At 48.5% G+C, this 18,188-nt stretch overlaps 3 protein-coding genes across 7 annotated transcripts in view, besides 1 other annotated feature; 2 read left to right on the top strand and 1 right to left on the bottom strand.

Moving 5' to 3' along the window:
- Positions 1-7,341, top strand: part of XPO5 (exportin 5) — a 53,705-nt gene extending 46,364 nt beyond the window's left edge. For both annotated transcript variants that reach the window (NR_144392.2, NM_020750.3), the window contains 9 exons: positions 750-847; positions 1,470-1,516; positions 1,944-2,041; positions 2,928-2,990; positions 3,754-3,836; positions 4,461-4,568; positions 4,707-4,844; positions 5,040-5,204; positions 5,670-7,341. Coding sequence is in view for 1 of the 2 variants with exons in the window: in NM_020750.3 (NP_065801.1) it covers positions 750-847; positions 1,470-1,516; positions 1,944-2,041; positions 2,928-2,990; positions 3,754-3,836; positions 4,461-4,568; positions 4,707-4,844; positions 5,040-5,204; positions 5,670-5,807 (938 nt within the window). In the remaining variant the exon portion in view is untranslated. The remainder of the gene's footprint in view (positions 1-749; positions 848-1,469; positions 1,517-1,943; positions 2,042-2,927; positions 2,991-3,753; positions 3,837-4,460; positions 4,569-4,706; positions 4,845-5,039; positions 5,205-5,669) is intronic.
- Positions 1-12,586, bottom strand: part of POLR1C (RNA polymerase I and III subunit C) — a 45,319-nt gene extending 32,733 nt beyond the window's left edge. The window contains exons 1-9 of one of the 3 annotated variants that reach the window (NM_001318876.2): positions 12,497-12,586; positions 12,298-12,369; positions 10,235-10,342; positions 9,837-9,969; positions 9,490-9,609; positions 9,248-9,400; positions 8,901-9,050; positions 8,627-8,743; positions 299-426 (exon numbers count right to left, since the gene is read on the bottom strand). In NM_001318876.2, the coding sequence (NP_001305805.1) occupies positions 320-426; positions 8,627-8,743; positions 8,901-9,050; positions 9,248-9,400; positions 9,490-9,609; positions 9,837-9,969; positions 10,235-10,342; positions 12,298-12,369; positions 12,497-12,565 (1,029 nt within the window). In that variant the 5' untranslated portion in view covers positions 12,566-12,586 and the 3' untranslated portion in view covers positions 299-319. Of the gene's footprint in view, positions 1-298; positions 427-8,161; positions 8,494-8,626; positions 8,744-8,900; positions 9,051-9,247; positions 9,401-9,489; positions 9,610-9,836; positions 9,970-10,234; positions 10,343-12,297; positions 12,370-12,496 lie in introns of those variants that run through there. The other 2 variants (NM_203290.4, NM_001363658.2) reach the window with 2 other exon arrangements.
- Positions 12,460-13,009: an enhancer, noted in NCBI's record as "active region_24602". NCBI's record gives its function as "activates an Ori minimal core promoter by ATAC-STARR-seq in GM12878 lymphoblastoid cells {active_cell/tissue: GM12878}" and the evidence as "EXISTENCE:reporter gene assay evidence [ECO:0000049][PMID:35858748]".
- On the top strand, positions 12,749-17,843 carry YIPF3 (Yip1 domain family member 3). Of its 2 annotated transcripts, none has more exons than NM_015388.4 (9): positions 12,749-12,948; positions 13,580-13,786; positions 13,974-14,080; positions 16,042-16,087; positions 16,224-16,316; positions 16,475-16,606; positions 16,801-16,914; positions 17,112-17,235; positions 17,360-17,843. In NM_015388.4, the coding sequence occupies exons 1-9, from the start codon at positions 12,868-12,870 to the stop codon at positions 17,506-17,508; spliced, it is 1,053 nt and encodes a 350-aa protein (NP_056203.2). In that variant the 5' UTR covers positions 12,749-12,867; the 3' UTR covers positions 17,509-17,843. The 2 variants fall into 2 exon arrangements, with proteins under 2 accessions (NP_056203.2, XP_047274564.1); XM_047418608.1 differs by having other exon boundaries at positions 12,749-13,179; positions 13,485-13,786.
- Positions 17,844-18,188: the final 345 nt, after the last annotated feature.

Below are 18,188 nucleotides of genomic sequence, written 5' to 3'. Positions count from 1 at the left end.
GCTAGAATTACAGGCCTGAGCCACCACACCCAGCCAGAAGCAGCAGTTTTAACACTTCATTCTCATTCAGACCCTTATTAATAGTTGAATCTCTTTCTTTCTTTTCTTTTTTTTTTTTTTTGAGACGGAGTCTTGCTCTGTTGCCCAGGCTGGAGTGCAGTGGCGTGATCTCGGCTCACTGCAAGCTTCGCCTCCCAGGTTCACACCATTCTCTTGCCTTAGCTTCTCGAGTAGCTGGGACTACAGGCGCTCGCCCCCATGCCCGACTAATTTTTTTTTTTTTTTTTTTTTTTTTTAGTAGAGACGGGGTTTCACCATGTTAGCCAGGATGGTCTCGCTCTCTTGACCCCGTGATCCACTCGCCTTGGCCTCCCAAAGTGCTGGGATTACAGGTGTGAGCCACCGCAGCCAGCAAATCTTTCTTACCTGAAATTATAAGGAGAATGGTGAAGGAGAGTTTGTTACAAGGATGTCCTCCTTCCTATTTTTTTATTCCTACTTTTTGGGCCAGTGACCATAATGTGCAGCCTGACGGAAATGCAGCTAAACTAAGAGTATAATGGAATTCAATATCAGTGCCATTTAGGATTTTAGGAAAAGAACTTTAAGATTTTTTCACTGTTAACACAGGATATTTTTGACATCTGGCAAATCCTTTAGGGATTGATTCTGCCCAGGGGTGCAACCCACCACCTGGCAGGTGAGAGATGTGTGCCTATGCACTAAAATTTCTTAACTTGTTGCAGCACGTGTCTTTGTAAAGCCTCTGGTGCTCTTCTGTCCCCCAGAGCACTATGAAGCCCTGGTATCCCCCATCCTCGGACCTCTTTTCACCTACCTCCATATGGTAAGAGATAAGTCAGGAACAGGAAGCAAAGAGTACTATTAAGGCCTCTGGCCATTTCTGAGCTTTGCAAGTCAGGAGCTCCTAGAAGTGTTGTCTACTAGCCCTGCCAGACTGGCTGGGCAGAGCTTCTACCCCAGCTGACTATCCTTGCTGTAGGATCGAGCAGCCCCCAAAGAACTAAACTGATTTAATTGCCACAAGACAGCTTCAGTTGCAGATTCTGCTCCTAACCTCCTGTTAACTGAGGAGAGGTAAAAAGAGGAATGCTTGCTCACAGACCCTTGCCAGGAATGCTGGGTCTGTTATCCTTACTCTAGAATTAAGCAGGGGGACCAGCTGGGTGGAGAACAGGTATGTCTAGAGACCCAGGAATTCTAAAAATGTTGTTAATTCTTTCCAAGCAAAGAGGTGTTTGAGATACCACCTTCATCAGGGATGTGGGATAGGTTACAGAAACCATAGATGTTTTTTTTAACCTTGTGGTGTGGAGTCTACAGAAGTTGTCATTGATGCCTAGAATCATCCTTGGCTAATTTTAATCATGAAGTGGACTTGACTTTAGATATTATGTGTTCCAATCCTTTCCCCAATTCTAGCATTTATTTCCTTTGTGTTTTCCCAGAGGCTTTCTCAGAAATGGCAAGTTATCAACCAAAGGAGCCTGCTGTGGTAAGGGATACCTACCCACTCTTCTTGGTGGATGAACTGGCAGCCAGGTTTGGGGTGGGAAAAGGAAGCGGGCAGGGATTCTGCTGTCCCAGGGTAGAAGAGCAGTAGGTTGTAGTCATTCTCAGCCTAGGTGATACATGGCTTGTCTGGACAGGCTGTTACCAGCAGGCAGACTCTGAGATCCAGCCTTCATAGGGGCTACTGTTACCTTACTCACTTATTTTAATTCTGTAATGTCTATCCAACTGGACAGAGTCACTAGTAATAATGTCCTTCAGTGGATCACTGCTGTCCATTCCCAACTTTTGCATAAAACGAAGACCCAAAGGAGAAGAAAGTGGTCAGAGAGAGTCTGATTAGGGTCGCTGCTTTCCTTGTCCTTCCTTTTCTGCACTCCTGTGGAACTTGGCCCCCTGGTTTTCTGCAGTGGAGAAGATGAGGCTGCAGATGAAAACCCAGAGTCTCAAGAGATGCTGGAGGAGCAACTGGTGAGGATGTTAACCCGAGAAGTCATGGACCTAATCAGTAAGTGGCATGTCGAAACTGGGGCTATAGAGGATTTTCCTGGAAGAAGAGCTGGTCGCTCAGCCAACTCCATGAAGGCCTGACTAATGCAAAGGATTCATGTTTGCGGCGGGCATGGTGGATTGCGAGGTCAAAAGATCAAGACCATCCTGGCCAACATGGTGAAACCCTGTCTCTACTAATAATACAAAAATTAGCTGGGCGTAGTGGCGCGCAGGCCTGTAGTCCCAGCTACTCAGGAGGCTGAGGTAGGAGAATCGCTTGAACCCGGGAGGCGGAGGCTGCAGTGAGCCGAAATCACGCCACTGCACTCCAGCCTGGCAAAAGAGTGAAACTCCGTCTCAAAAAAAAAGTTCATGTTTGTAGCAACACTGACAGATCCAAAAGAAATAACTAGATAGAAGCAAGGCAGTCCTTAAGTCAACCTAAGGATACTTTATGAATTGCAAGCTGAATATGGGGAAACAAAAATAGCAGAAGGAATTTGGATTCATTAGGAATAACTTCCTAGTTTTGTCAAAATAGGGAAATGTTTTAAATTCTTGGACATGGAGGCTGTTAATTTTCTTTTTATTTTTACTGTGTCATTTTGTTTGTTTGAGATTCAAAGTAGACCAGGGATGTATCAAGCATCCTTTCCTAGTCACTCACTCTCAGAGAATTCTGTAATTTTCTCTCAGCTAGTTGAACTTGAAGGACCAAAACAGTTCGGTCATCAGAATGCCTCTATTTCTATTGGTGAAGCTAATTCTTGTGCCTTGGACGGTACCCCCATCTTCCTCCTTCCTCACCTGGCCAGAGACAGGTTGGGATCAGTGGGCCTGAGGTGGCTGTTGTGGTAGTATATACCCACCCTTCACCTAGTAACCCTGCTTTCTTGCTTTAGCGGTTTGCTGTGTTTCAAAGAAGGGTGCTGACCACAGTAGTGCTCCCCCAGCAGATGGAGACGGTAAGTGAGCCTGTGAGACCTTGGAGTTCTGCTCTTAGCCTCCTAAATACTGTTCCTTCTGAACCAGGTCAGTTTCCTTGCAGTCTGGTGAGGAGAAGACACCCTACATGTAGTTATCATCTCTGGACCAGCCCTCTTGCTGTGTGCCTCCATCATACTCCCACCTCCAAGCCTTTGCACTTGCTGTTTCCTCTGTCTCAGATGATTTCCTCCCAACCATATATGTGATCTTTTCTCTTGCTTTATTCCAATGTCACCTCTTCCCAGAGATCGTCCATGACCAACCTATCAAAAATGGCAACCCCAGCTACTCTGTATTCCTCTGCTTTATTCTTCTTCATAGCAGTTGTCACTACCCAACATTATGTTTTTATTTATGTATTCCTTTCTTACCTATCTCCCATGTTAGAATGTAAACTCCCATCAGGGAAGGGACCTATTGTCCTATACCTTTTATCCCCAGTAACTAAATCAGTGTCTGGTGCTCAAATATTTGTCCAACAACAAAGTAACTTCAGTATTTGCAGCATTTTGTGTTTCTGCCTAGAAGCTCCCATTTCCCTCATGTACAGCTTGAGTGCATCTCTAGAAGATCAGCCATGGGCATGGGCATTATGTGGAGGTGGGAGGGCTCCTAGTACTACTTAGCCACCACTTAGCCTAGAACACTCAGCTTTGCTTTGTTTTTTGCGCTTCTGTCAGAACAAGATATTCTTCTCTGTTCTGAAAGGATGGAGCTTAACATTCTACTCTCTGATAACAGATGAAGAAATGATGGCCACAGAGGTCACCCCCTCAGCTATGGCAGAGCTTACAGACCTGGGCAAATGTCTGATGAAGCATGAGGTGGGTAGAAGGAGCAGGTGATACCTTTACTCCTTGCCCAGGTGGGGAGTCACCTTTTACTTTTCTTGCTCTATGGTGCTATCAAGAGTTTTTTGTAATACTCCTTTGTTACATAAGTTCCTGGTTCCAAAGGCCCCAGAAAAAACCGAGGGAAAAGGTGCAATGCCATGGTGTCTCCCATACCAGCATAGGCAGGAGCTCTCAGGAAAACACATAGTAGGCACACTGATGCAGATCCCTGGTGTTTAGCCTCCCCAAGCCAGGCCTGAGCTTTGTCTCCATCCTACACATACAGGTTTTCTCACATTTTGATTTTTTCTTTTTGACTGGCAATACACAAAAATAGAGGAAGTAAACTCCTTTTATTTTTCCTGCTTAGCTATTTAAAACTCCAGCTCCTAAGCCAGGCATGGTGGCACACACCTGTAGTCCCAGCTATTCGGGAGGCTTAGATGGGAGAATAGCTTGAGCCCAGGAGTTCAGGACCAGCCTGGGCAACAAAACAAACCCATCTTTAGAGGGGGGGAGGAAAAAAAAAAAACCCTCCGGCTCCTGATGTGTAATAATCATCAGAGAAAACTGTGCTTCTTTTTCCATTGTAACTCTTCATCTTTTCCTGTTCAGGATGTTTGTACAGCGCTATTAATTACAGCCTTCAATTCCCTGGCCTGGAAAGATACTCTGTCCTGCCAGAGGACAACCTCACAGCTCTGCTGGCCTCTCCTCAAACAAGTATGGTTATTCACCCCTTTTCCCTGCCCCTCATGGAAGGTTTGGGTCATGCAGACTGACTAAATCATTCAGAAGAACTGGGGTGCTGAGGCCTTGAGAGAGGCCCCCTGTGGCCCTAAAGCACAGTTGTCTCCCCAGGTGCTGTCAGGGACACTGCTCGCAGATGCAGTTACGTGGCTTTTCACCAGTGTGCTGAAAGGCTTACAGATGCACGGGCAGCACGACGGGTGCATGGCTTCCCTGGTCCATCTGGCCTTCCAGATATACGAGGCACTGGTGAGTGGGGAAGGCATGGGGGAAGGATGGCTGCAGCTTCATCACTCAGTCTGCTCCTAGTCTCTTGGGCCTTATCCTAAATTCAGGCACCTGCCAAATTGCTGGTGCAATCTCTGAGAAATGGGTGTGGCAGGAAATGGGGAGGGTGGCAATATCCAAACCTACATCCAGTAAGTTTATCCCTGCTGATATCAGCGCCCCAGGTACCTGGAGATAAGAGCTGTAATGGAGCAAATCCCTGAAATACAGAAGGACTCACTGGACCAGTTTGACTGCAAGCTTTTAAACCCCTCCCTGCAGAAAGTGGCTGACAAGCGCCGAAAGGACCAATTCAAACGCCTCATTGCTGGTTGCATTGGGGTAGGTCATGCACCTTCAATAGTGCTCCCAACCCCCTTCTTAAATCATGTGTATGGGCAAACCATAAACCAGCTGTAGTTATTGACCATTATGGTGAGATTTTTTTTTTTTTTTTTTTGAGATGGGGTTTCACTCTTGTTGCCCAGGCTGGAGTGCAGTGGTACGATCTCAGCTCACCACAACCTCCGCCTCCCAGGTTCAAACGATTCTCCTGCCTCAGCCTCCCAAGTAGCTGGGATTACAGGCATGCACCACCACGTCTGGCTACTTTTTGTATTTTTAGTAGAGACGGGGTTTCTCCATGTCGGTCAGGCTGGTCTTGAACTCCTGACCTCAGGTGATCCACCCGCCTTGGCCTCCCAAAAGTGTTGGGATTACAGGCGCGAGCCACTGCGCCGGGCCAAGAGAATCTTTTAACTACTACTGAGGGCCCAGCATTAATTCTTTCTCATTTGTTTTCCACAGAAACCCTTGGGAGAGCAGTTCCGAAAAGAAGTTCACATTAAGAATCTTCCCTCACTTTTCAAAAAAACAAAGCCAATGCTGGAGACGGAGGTGCTGGACAATGATGGGGGTGGCCTGGCCACCATCTTTGAACCCTGAATCAAGCTTTTGGGCATCCTTCCTCGGCCTTTCTTGTCATCTCTTCTTTCCCTTTGTAGCCGATCTCTAGGCCCTTCTTGCACTGCCACCTCACTTTCCACCACTGTCAGCCTGGAAAGAGATCCAGGTCTGGAGCTGGAGAGAACAGGCCCTGTGCAGGACCAGAAGTAATTATACTAAAGTATCAAGAAAGGGAGTTAGGGCTTAAACTATTCTGTCTAGATGTCCCAGATAGTTCCCATTCTACTTGGAGATTTGGCTTTTCCAAGAAAAGCTAGAGCAGAGCAGCCCTTCTCCCACAAGCCCTCCCACCCCCGTGCAGCCACATACCTGTACAGAATGGTAACTAAGGGTGCTGTGCCCAACCCTGCGACTAGCAAGGCTCGCAGCAAGAGCACAGCCCTCAACTACTTGTGCCAGAGTTTCTCTTGGACCACTCCAACTCCCACTGAGCCCTTTTGCTGCTGGGCTGGCAGGAAACTTTCCCCACTCCCTAAGGGGCATGTCTGGGTTAGGTGCTAAGTGCTGAAGAGAACTTGGTCAGTTCTCTCAACTTTGCTTTGGGCAAGAATCTGGTCACCTGATGGGATCCATGGTACAGGCTACTGCTAAACTTGGCACAGTATCAAGTATAGTACCTCCAAGGACCAGGGCTGGGAAGTCTTTAGTGCTAACATCCCCTTTAGAGTTCACACATCTTGCCCTTCCATGAATGACCCCTCAGTCTGGCCTCCCCAGCCTCAAGGTCCACTCAGGCACAAGAGCCACAGTACCCTAGATAGTGTCACATGACACCGTTGTCATCCAAGGATAATACAGACCAACTAGGCTACATCTGTGATGAGCAGCTAGCAAAGCCGCTGGTCTTCTCCTAGGACTAAGTCCAGGTGCCTTCCACAATCTCATGGTCTTTCAGGTCCCTGGTTACTTTTCTCAAAGGCCATTTCCAAAAGAATACATGCCTTCACATCACAACCTGTACTGTGAGTCCATTCTAGAGGTCACTGAAAGGCCCTGTAAAGAGAGGACATGGATACGGGACCTGGCCCTGAGGTTATTACTGGCCGTAAGGCAGAGTTAATCCATACAGAAACCAGTGTGTCCATGTGCTCTGCACAAAAACAGACCTGTTGTCCATCCAGTCCACTGACAAGAGGGTTTCCCCGAGAGCCGAAGTGGACTGAAGCTACAGTTTTTAGCTGGTGCGGGCCACAGGCAGGGTCAGATTGAGAAGAAGCAAAGCTGGGGAAGCAGAAGTTGGGAGTCTTGTGTTGCTCCCTCTTCCTGTGTGGTGCTCTGGGTTTCTGTGGATCGTGAAGGCGATCTCAAGAGTGTTTCCCTCCAAACCTGATAGCTGCCTATTCCTGTCTGGTTGGGGCTGTGGAGGATGTAGTTGTATTTATTGCATTGTAATATTTTTAACATCCTGTGACTTCATGCTAGAAATTTTCTATTGTTTATAGAAACTTTTTGTAGAAACATTAACTCTAAAGCACATCTGCATGTCAGTAAAAATCTCAGTTTCGTACAGAAAGGGACCCATCTGCCTTTTTCAACCTAGTCTTAAAACCAGTGACATACTCCAGGGTTACTTCATGAGCACCCGGGACTAAAACAGGAAGAAATGTGACTGATGATTCTGGTCTTTCAAGCTTTCTGAAATGGTGTGCCAGTTAGAAAAGGATTTCTATTCCTGACATACCCAGACTAGGCAGCCCATACCATTCTCACAGTGTCTTTCGTGTGTGGCTGCTGGGCCTGGCCCACAGGAATTGCTACTGTTCTTTGTTGGAGCTGTCAATAGCAACATGAACTTCCCTGGTAAACCAGGAGATAGGTGAAGTGGCACATTCACTCTAGCTTGAATGTTTTTCTAGGGTTTGGCTGTGCTCCCAGAAACCACCTTAATTTGCCAATTCTCAGGAGGTGTTCTTTCTGTTGTTTTTGAAACAGGGTCTCACTGTTACCCGGGCTGGAGTGCACATCTGATGTTCTTAATTGGTAAATGCTAAACCAGTTCTGAAGTGAGGCCCCCTGTTTTTCGCGGTGGCTCACACCTGTAATCCCAACACTTTGGGAGGCCCCAAGGCAGGCGTATCACTTGAGGTCAGGAGTTTGACACCAGCCTGACCAACATGGTGAAACCCTGTCTCTACTAAAAATACAAAAAATTAGACATATAGCTAGGTGTGGTGGTGCATGCCTGTAGCATCAGCTACTCTTGCCTCAGCCTCCTGAGAATTGCTTGAACCCAGGAGGAAGCTGCAGTGAGCTGAGATTGCACCACTGCACTCCAGCCTGGGCAACACAGTGAGACTGTCTCAAAAAACAAACTCAAAAGTAGTCTCAAAAAGTTTTTTTGTTTGGGTGAGTTTATTTACATCTAAGGCCTTATAAAGGCGTAAAAAGTCTCATTTTATGGCACATTTAACAAAATGTATTGATTAAAGCTGGAATTGTCCCAGAAAACTCAGGATCCCTAGTCACACTGGGCTCTCTGTTCAGCAGTCCTGTAGGGTGGGTCAGTCAGAACCCAAAGCTTCAGCTTGCCTCAGAAGCATCCAAGCTCAGTCCATCTGAACCGCATCTAGTTCATCCAAGAAGCGCCGGCACTTCCCCATCAGTACTTTGATGGCTTCACTCACCAGCACATCTGGTGGCAACACCCCCGTTGACTCAACAGAGACTGGGGACCAAAGAGACACTTTAGTCTAGGCAGGGCTTGCCTGTAAAACTTACTCATAAACTTCACATCTAGACTGGAAGGAAGCTGCAGCACCAAAGAGCACTGCCCACTCATCTCACCACTTCATACTCACAGATATAATGATCTCGAACCCGGGCAAGCCTCACAACCTTCTTTAGCTTCTCATTCCGGAAGATTTCTCTGCTGAAGGTATCCAGCCGGGGGTTGGCAACTCTGGCCACCTTTTTACCTAATGAGAACAAACCATGTTTTTTTATTCCTTTTTCTAATTTGCCACTTGGTAGCAAACCAGGTTATACTTTTAGGAGCCCAGGGTTTTTATTTCTGTCACCTTGAAAGAAAATATAATTTAGGTCCTAACTTGAACAGCATCCCAAATACCATACCTTGGACTTCCTGCACCTCAATAACACCAGGTGAGAAGCACCTGCTCAACTCCTCAGCTGCCTCCCCTTCCACGGGCTCAAGCAGGGTGATGTCTGGCAGGAGCCTGTAACTGGCTGTTGCCACTGGTGAAAACTTGGCATGATCTTTGCCTGGAGAGGAAGAGGGAACGTGCCTATAGGAAACCCTTCTAGGGTTAGGAAGAATACTCCTCCTAAGCTACTAACAGCAAAAGCACAACCCTCTTGGCTTTCTACCTGCCGGGAATGTCTCAGCTGAGTTCCCTAGTCAGCTTGCCCCACTGCAACCGAACTATCCCCCTTCCCAGGAAGGCACACAGGGTTCTCACCAATGCCCTTGACACAGTGCATGAGCAGGTCAATTTCTTGGCCAGGCCGCAGCTGAGCGATGAGGATATCATCATGCACTGGTCGGATAGTGCCCTCTGGAAAGAGATCAGCCTGGTTCCCCAGGGGGATCCATGTCATATGCCTGGTATACACTGGAGGAAAAACATGTCAGAAGATCTCAGTCCCTAAAACTAGCAGCTACCCACAGGTGGGGCCTCTTCCTCACCCTACCACTACTCACCTTTGTGGTTCACGTACAGTTCGTTGGGGTCAGAGGAATCTTTAGCAGCATGGGGGTTCCGAGTGCATCTGACCTGGAGACGAAACTGTAGAGTATCTATCTCTGTGCCTTCTTCATCTCCTGCACAAATGGAGGGAGCTCCTAAGAACTAGTAAACGTCTGAGTGCCAGCACTATGCTGAATGCTTTACGTGTTTCCCATTTAATTATGGCAAACTTGGGAGACAAGGCAAGTGTTCTCACAGATGAAAGACACTGATGTACAAAGATAAGTAACTTACCCAACATCACAGTCAACCAGGATTTGAACCCAGATAGTCCACTTCTCCCAAAATTTCATTTTCTCACCTTGGTTCCGATACTCAAAAAGACGGGGATCAGCATGAATGGGAATGAGCCCCAGACGGTGAGCAAGAATCTCATCCTGAACAATGGATGTATTATTGTACACCAGGACCTTCTCCACAGCCATAGTTGGCACCTGCCCAAGGAAAAATAACCACTTATCTGCAAAAACCCAACAGACCCCCTACCTATCCCCGTAACCCCAACCTCCAGAGGTAGGGAGCTATCTCTCTTCCTAGAATGTTTAATGAGAAATTTACAAAGAATGAGAAGGTAAAATGCTCAGCAAAATTCCAGGAAAATTAAGGAGGGAAGGACAGCTTGAGACACTTAATTCTCCAAGTGAGGTGTCAGTGCAGTTCCCAAAGCAACTCCAGCCTTGTCACCATGCCTGCCAATACCTCAGCTAGCAGAATTCGTCGAAAAGCATTGGCAATGGCTGCGTCAATTCCCACCATGTCAAACTCCAGTGAGTTTTCATCCATGTGTACTACATCCACACGGAAATTCTAGAGGGACAGGAAAAAACATTTAAGTGAAATCTGCTCTCTGTGTAATATCTCTTCATACCTCCCCCTTAGATAATTCCCTCAAGTATTATCCTCTCATCCAAAAACCTCCCTTTGCCCAAATGTCTCTTATTAAATATTCTATCTCGCCCAGTGTTTTAAGTTTCATGAAAAGTCTCCATTTTTGTCGTCCATTCATTAAAACCCTATGCAATATGGCTTCCAACCAAACCATCCACAGAAGCTATTCTACTGAAGAACAGAAACTACCATAGTGCTTAGTTTTGTTGACACTACTCAGTCCTCTTACTAGACTTCTGTTATGCTTGGCATTGATTAAAAAACCCCCTCCTGGCCCGGCACAGTCACTCACACCTGTAATCCCAGCACTCTGGGAGGCTGAGACGGGCAGATCACAAGGTCAGGAGTTTGAGACCAGCCTGGCCAGCATGGTGAAACCCCGTCTCTACCAAAAATACAAAAAATTAGCTGGGCATAGTGGCGCATGACTGTAGTCCCAGCTACTCGGGAGGCTGAGGCAGAACTGCTTGAACCCGGGAGGCGGAGGTTGCAGTGAGCCAAGATCGCGCCACTGCACTCCAGCCTGGGACATAAGAGTGCCTCATGAAAAGCAAAGAAAAAAATCTCCTCCTTTTTTGAACTATTCCCCTGGTTTCTGAGCTCTGAGCTCCACTCTTCTTCCTTCTCTGATGATCGACTTCCACCCATCTCTAAATTTGCCAGGTTCTTGTCTCTCTCCCAGGTCACCTTAACTGTACTAACAGTTTTAGCAACTATCTGTTCTGACAACTCCCAAAATGTTATCTCACTTCTGATCTCATTTCAAGCATGCAGTCTTCTAGCCTGCTAGATTTCTCCACATGCAGAAAACAATGCATCATCATTCCCGTTCCCCAGACCCATTTCTCCTCTCAGTAAATGATACCACAATGCATCAAAGCAGTTCCCAAGCCAAAAAGTCATTTTATGCTACCCCCACAGCCTTTACCAAAGCAATCATAAATTTACCTTCTATTCTACCTTTGCTCTATTTCTACCATCAGTCTTAGTTCATGTCTTCAACCTCAGCTTCCCTTACAACAGATCTGCCTGCTCCATATGATCCTCCTCAAACTCATTCCCTCCCAGCCACCAAGGTTGCAAATCTCATCATGTCTGCTTAAGAACTATTCAATCTCCCTATCATCAACAGTGCCCAAGACACACTTCAACCTTGCCTACCACTCATGCCAGAACTACTTGGACATGCCCGGAGCACACTTCACACAAGCCATAATTTTTTTTCAAGCATTAACCTTTTTCATTGTTCATACTTTATTCCTTGTATCAACAGGTTAAAAAAGTAAAATTTTCCCAAGCACTGATTTACAGATCATGTTTATAAGCTGCACGCAAAGGTCAGTTGCCTAAACGGTAACATTCAGTAATCTATTTAAATGCAATTTTAACCCTTATTTTAAGCTAAGTGAAACAATACAAAAGACTAAATACACACAAAACCTGTATATCCTGAACTTCACTGACTTGAAACAAACCCTTCATAATTTAACTCCTGTTCTTTTTTACTTACCATTCAAGGCTCAATTGAGATGTACCCTCCTCTTGAAATGTTAAGTACCTCTCCGCCCCTCTTCCTGGTCTCAGCGTAATGCTCCCCACCCCAACCCTGCCGTCTTCATCGCTATCAACCACCTTCACCATATTACACTAGATTCACTGTTTATACACACCATTCCTCAACAAGACTGAACATCTTTGCAGAACTGGGTAGAAACCGTGTCTAATTTGGCCTGTAAACGGAGCGTCTAGCACATTGCTCAACAAACTTACAAACGGAGCGACCCCCAAGAGCAGCTTCTGAGACAGACACAGGCTGCTCAGACCACAAGGTCTGGCCTTCATAACCCTCCCCAGACAACTCCGGCCCCACTTACCTTCTCGAAGCGGTCCTGGTCCCAGGCATCATCATAACCGGAATAGTTACCGGGAAAGTCAGTAGTATGGACCTAGAGCAAAGGGACGAATTTGTCCACGAAGGGACAGTGAGCCCACAGCTATCCCCACGCCAATCCCAAGACCCATCCCTGTTCCGCTCTCATTCCTCCCGCCCGAGCTCAAGGCCACAAGGCTTACATTGCGAACCCCAAACTCCCCCAGAACCACGCGGCTCCGCATTTCCTCCACCGCCTGAGAAGCCGCCATCTTCAATCTCTCCACGAGACTAGAGGTTCTATCTCGCGCGTGCGTCCTAGTAGCCCTGCTCCGTCTCCGTGGCAACGCACCGCCTCCTGGAATCTTAAATATCGCGAGATTTTTCCCCGCCCCCGTCCACGTCCCCAGCTTCCGGAAGTTGCTTTTGTCCAAACATCCGGGCTTCTCCTTTTTGTGTTCCGGCCGATCCCACCTCTCCTCGACCCTGGACGTCTACCTTCCGGAGGCCCACATCTTGCCCACTCCGCGCGCGGGGCTAGCGCGGGTTTCAGCGACGGGAGCCCTCAAGGGACATGGCAACTACAGCGGCGCCGGCGGGCGGCGCCCGAAATGGAGCTGGCCCGGAATGGGGAGGGTTCGAAGAAAACATCCAGGTAATGGCCCCAAGGCACCAGCTGCCAGCAGCCGGAGGGCCGGCGATGTCCAGAAGTGTCTTGGGGATTCCCCCTCTGGGCCTGGAAGTCCGCTCCATTTACAAAACTCTCTTCTTTGGGTCTTCGTGCACACTAAAGTCAGTGGGATTAACATTGACCTGAAAGGGCCAGACTACTACTCCAGCCTGAGGATCTCGGGTTTCAGGGCCCGCCCGAGGCATTAGGAAGAAGGTATTCTTGGAACAAGTTAGGAGGTTGGTCGGGGTAAGGCATGGAGTGGGGTTGGGTGGGATTCACTGGCATTCGCTGAAAACATACTATGTGTATAGTTTTGTTTGGGGCTTAGGAAAGAAGGAAATGGGCACTTTTTCAGCCTTTTAGTCTTTGATAGGTAACATAGGAGAAAGACATGAATGGAAGACTAGTAGGTTTCCCAGGCTAGAAAAGATAGCCAAAGCTAGAAACCAGGCGTTCTGAGAGCATATGAGGGGGAATGGAGTGGCATGATCTGTAGTGATTCCAAGCCGTATCCTCAGCAGTGGAAGAACAAAGCCCTAAACCCTGGGATGAGCAGAGGACTTAATGGATGGAACAGAAAAGTCCTGCACTCTAGGAGCCATTGTCTTCACAGGGCGGAGGCTCAGCTGTGATTGACATGGAGAACATGGATGATACCTCAGGCTCTAGCTTCGAGGATATGGGTGAGCTGCATCAGCGCCTGCGCGAGGAAGAAGTAGACGCTGATGCAGCTGATGCAGCTGCTGCTGAAGAGGAGGATGGAGAGTTCCTGGGCATGAAGGGCTTTAAGGGACAGCTGAGCCGGCAGGTGGCAGATCAGGTAAGCAAGATTGAATCCTCTGCAGGTAGAAAAGTAGACCTAGGTATGTCCCGTGTTCTGGAATTGGTGTTGGTGATGTTCGCCCCAGGTTGTCCAGTTAGAACCATGTAGAAATCAAACGGAAAATAGGCAACAGGATCTAGAACCAACAGTACCACAATACCTATGCCCATCTTCCTTACTTCAGATGTGGCAGGCTGGGAAAAGACAAGCCTCCAGGGCCTTCAGCTTGTACGCCAACATCGACATCCTCAGACCCTACTTTGATGTGGAGCCTGCTCAGGTGCGAAGCAGGTGAGGAGCCTTCTCTTGAAGAAGCTTCCCTCCTAACACCTAGACCTTCATGCACACTACAGTCAGATTTCAAGCCCTGGGCTCTGATGGGCTCCCCGTCTTCATGACCCCATCACCTCTCATCACTGCACCTGTCACTGAAACAAGTAATAATAGCACACCATCTTCCTCTTCTTTTCCATCTAACTGACTACTCATCTTCCCTCAAAACCTACCTCAGATGTCACTTCCTCTGTTCCACATTCCTCAATCCCATCCCCAGTTTGTTCTCTCCTGGTGTTCCTATAGAACTCTGTGCTTGCCAGCCGGGCATGGTGGCTCACGCCTGGAATCCCAGCACTTTGGGAGGCCGAGGCGGGCGGATCACAAGGTCAGGAGATCGAGACCATCCTGGCTAACACGGTGAAACCCTGTCTCTACTAAAAATGCAAAAAAAATTAGACAGGCGGGTGCCCGTAGTCCCAGCTACTCGGGAGGCTGAGGCAGGAGAATGGCATGAACCTGGGAGGCGGAGGCGGAGCTTGCAGTGAGCCGAGATCGTGCCACTGCACTTCAGCCTGAGCAACAAAGTGAGACTCCATCTCAAAAAAAAAAAAAAAAGAACTCTGCGCTTGCCTCTAATAGACAGCACTTCACCACTGCTATCCTTTCTTATTCCTGGAATCTTCCTTCCAGAGACCAACAGCATCTCAAAAGCAGGCTCTGTCTTGTTTATCTTTTTATTCCCAGCACCAGAACAGTCTCAGAATCAAAATATCAGGGCATAGTTTTTGAGTGACTTTTCAAGAACTAGATTTAATCCTGGCTTGGTTTTTTTGTTCATCCTTTAATCAATGCTAATCAAATACCCAGGACCACTCAGCAGGTATTTATTAAGCATTTGCTCTGTGCCAGACGCTAAACTAATCGTATCTGGTTCAGTGGTGAAGATAGATGGGAGCCTTGCTCTTGAGTGCAGTTACAGTACAGTACTCATTCTATGATGGGGCACACAGGAGGGATATGTGAGCCAAAGCAGGTTGGTGGGTGGGACAGGACAAGTTTCCCAGAGGAAGTAAAACCTAGCTAAAATCCCAGGTATGATTAGGAGCTAGCCACTTGAGAGAAGAGGGAAGTGACTAAATTTTCATACCACTTCACATATATTTTTCAAGAAAATACTCGAAAGTGCCTGGAGGCACAGATAAGCAGGAAGAGGAGGCGTTTTTACTATTCCCTCAGTAACACCTTTCATTCTAAACTTTCCATCTAGCCGGCTAGACTTTTCCCAGGGCTTCCTCATTATAACCCTGAATTCTGGGTACTCTCTGCTGAGGTCTGCCTGTCTTGTCATGTCTTTGTTTTGTTTTGTTTTGAGATGGAGTCGCACTCTGTCACCCAGGCTGGAGTGCAGTGGCGCGATCTCGGTTCACTGCAACCTCCGCTTCCCGGGTTCAGGCAATTCTCCTGCCTCAGCCTCCTGAGTAGCTGGGACTACAGGCGCCCGCCACCATGCCCAGCTAATTTTTTGTATTTTTCGTAGAGACAGGGTTTCACCATATTGGCCAGGCTGGCCTCAAACTCCTGACCTTGTGATCTGCCTGCCTCGGCCTCCCAAAGTGCTGGGATTACAGGCGTGAGCCACCGCGCCCAGCCTGCCTGTCTTTTCAAGGGGAGGGGGCAGACGGATACATGGTCGGGCCCTCCTTCAAGGCCCAGTAGGGCTGAGTTCTCCATATAGCTGCTGTTTCAGTCAGCTAAGTTTCAGAGGGTTGTCCTTCCTGGAAGTAACTTTAGGGGCAAGGAAATGATTTCCTCATTCCCTATCTGTCTTTACTACCCTGTTCTACCGTGTCATCCAACATGTCTTCTAGGCCAGGCCCCATTCCCTGGAGTTAGAGATGAATAAAATTCAGGCCTTGCCCTCCAGAACCTCATGGCCTTGTGCTGCCTTTGCTTTAATCTCTCCTCTCCTCTCCCAGGCTCCTGGAGTCCATGATCCCTATCAAGATGGTCAACTTCCCCCAGGTGAATAGAGGGTGGCATGTCTGGAGAGCCGGGGGAAGCACCAGGGCAGAGGGTGGGACCACCAGGCAAATCCTGGGAAGCCATAAACAGATGAGCTGTTGTACCCTCCAGCCTGAATGAATTGGTATATTGACAGAAAATTGCAGGTGAACTCTATGGACCTCTCATGCTGGTCTTCACTCTGGTTGCTATCCTACTCCATGGGATGAAGACGTCTGACACTATTATCGTAAGCAGGACAGACAACTTTGGGGGGGTGGCTGCACTAGGTTGAAAGCTGCCTGAGGATACAATGGTGGAGTGAGACAGGAACAGCCCCTGCGGAAGGCCCTAGGTGAGGCTGAGATCAGAGGCCTCCTAGGACTAAATAGAGCCTTCACCCCACAGCGGGAGGGCACCCTGATGGGCACAGCCATTGGCACCTGCTTCGGCTACTGGCTGGGAGTCTCATCCTTCATTTACTTCCTTGCCTACCTGTGCAACGCCCAGATCACCATGCTGCAGATGTTGGCACTGCTGGTAAGGAGCCAGGTGTGGTGGGCAAGAGTGATGTTAAAAAGAGTAGCCAGGCCTTGGTCGGCATCTGTCCTGGGGCCCCAAAGCCTGGAATGGGAGGAGTAGGCCAATGGACCATGTGTTTCCCAGGGTCCCCATGAGGGGCCAGAAAGCAGCCCAACCTGAATGATTTTCCTCTCCACCATCCTCCTTCCCAGGGCTATGGCCTCTTTGGGCATTGCATTGTCCTGTTCATCACCTATAATATCCACCTCCACGCCCTCTTCTACCTCTTCTGGCTGTTGGTGGGTGGACTGTCCACACTGCGCATGGTAAGCTGGGCAAGAGGCTTCCAGGGGTGGGCTGTCCTCCCAGGGAGTTGGGGAAGACAGCCTGGAGCTGTCCATCTCACAAAGAGCCCTAAATGGGAGGGAAGAGCCCAAAGATGGTTCTGCCCTGGGTGGGGGTGTCTTGTCCCCACTCCTCACTTTGGAGCCAGGCCCTTTGAGCTGTATTCTCATGGTCCTAGGTAGCAGTGTTGGTGTCTCGGACCGTGGGCCCCACACAGCGGCTGCTCCTCTGTGGCACCCTGGCTGCCCTACACATGCTCTTCCTGCTCTATCTGCATTTTGCCTACCACAAAGTGGTAGAGGGTAAGTGGCAGGAAGGTCTGGGTGGGGGAGAATGGGAAAGCAGCTGCCTAGAGCAAGAAGCTAGATATGATGGCTGGTGGGCTGGGCCCATCTGATCCTCGCTCACCTTCCATCTTCCTTCCAGGGATCCTGGACACACTGGAGGGCCCCAACATCCCGCCCATCCAGAGGGTCCCCAGAGACATCCCTGCCATGCTCCCTGCTGCTCGGCTTCCCACCACCGTCCTCAACGCCACAGCCAAAGCTGTTGCGGTGACCCTGCAGTCACACTGACCCCACCTGAAATTCTTGGCCAGTCCTCTTTCCCGCAGCTGCAGAGAGGAGGAAGACTATTAAAGGACAGTCCTGATGACATGTTTCGTAGATGGGGTTTGCAGCTGCCACTGAGCTGTAGCTGCGTAAGTACCTCCTTGATGCCTGTCGGCACTTCTGAAAGGCACAAGGCCAAGAACTCCTGGCCAGGACTGCAAGGCTCTGCAGCCAATGCAGAAAATGGGTCAGCTCCTTTGAGAACCCCTCCCCACCTACCCCTTCCTTCCTCTTTATCTCTCCCACATTGTCTTGCTAAATATAGACTTGGTAATTAAAATGTTGATTGAAGTCTGGAACTGCAGCGGCTGATCCAGTGGTCCTCCCTGTCATCCCGCTTCCTATATACTTTCCTACTCAGTCAACAGTGGTAATGTCATATGTTCCCTTCTTCATATCCTCACCCAGGCAAGATAAAGGTGGGACAGGCCAGACTACATAGAAGGCAGTGATTGAATATCACACCTGACCCATGAAGCGGCAGGGAGGCCTCAAGCACAAAAGCCATAAGCCTGATGGAACACTGCAGCCAGCTTGAGTCTGGGCTCAGCTGCTCTCTTGGGAAGCCAAGGAAGCAGTGACAATTGAACAAAACATCCCGACTTAAACCCCGTGTCAAAACAAGGATCTTCTGCACCTGGGCA

This window comes from Homo sapiens, chromosome 6 (assembly GCF_000001405.40).
Source record: "Homo sapiens chromosome 6, GRCh38.p14 Primary Assembly".
NCBI lineage: Eukaryota > Metazoa > Chordata > Mammalia > Primates > Hominidae > Homo > Homo sapiens.
The sequence above is the reverse complement of the archived record's forward strand: the minus strand, read 5'-3'. Positions and strand labels throughout refer to the sequence as shown.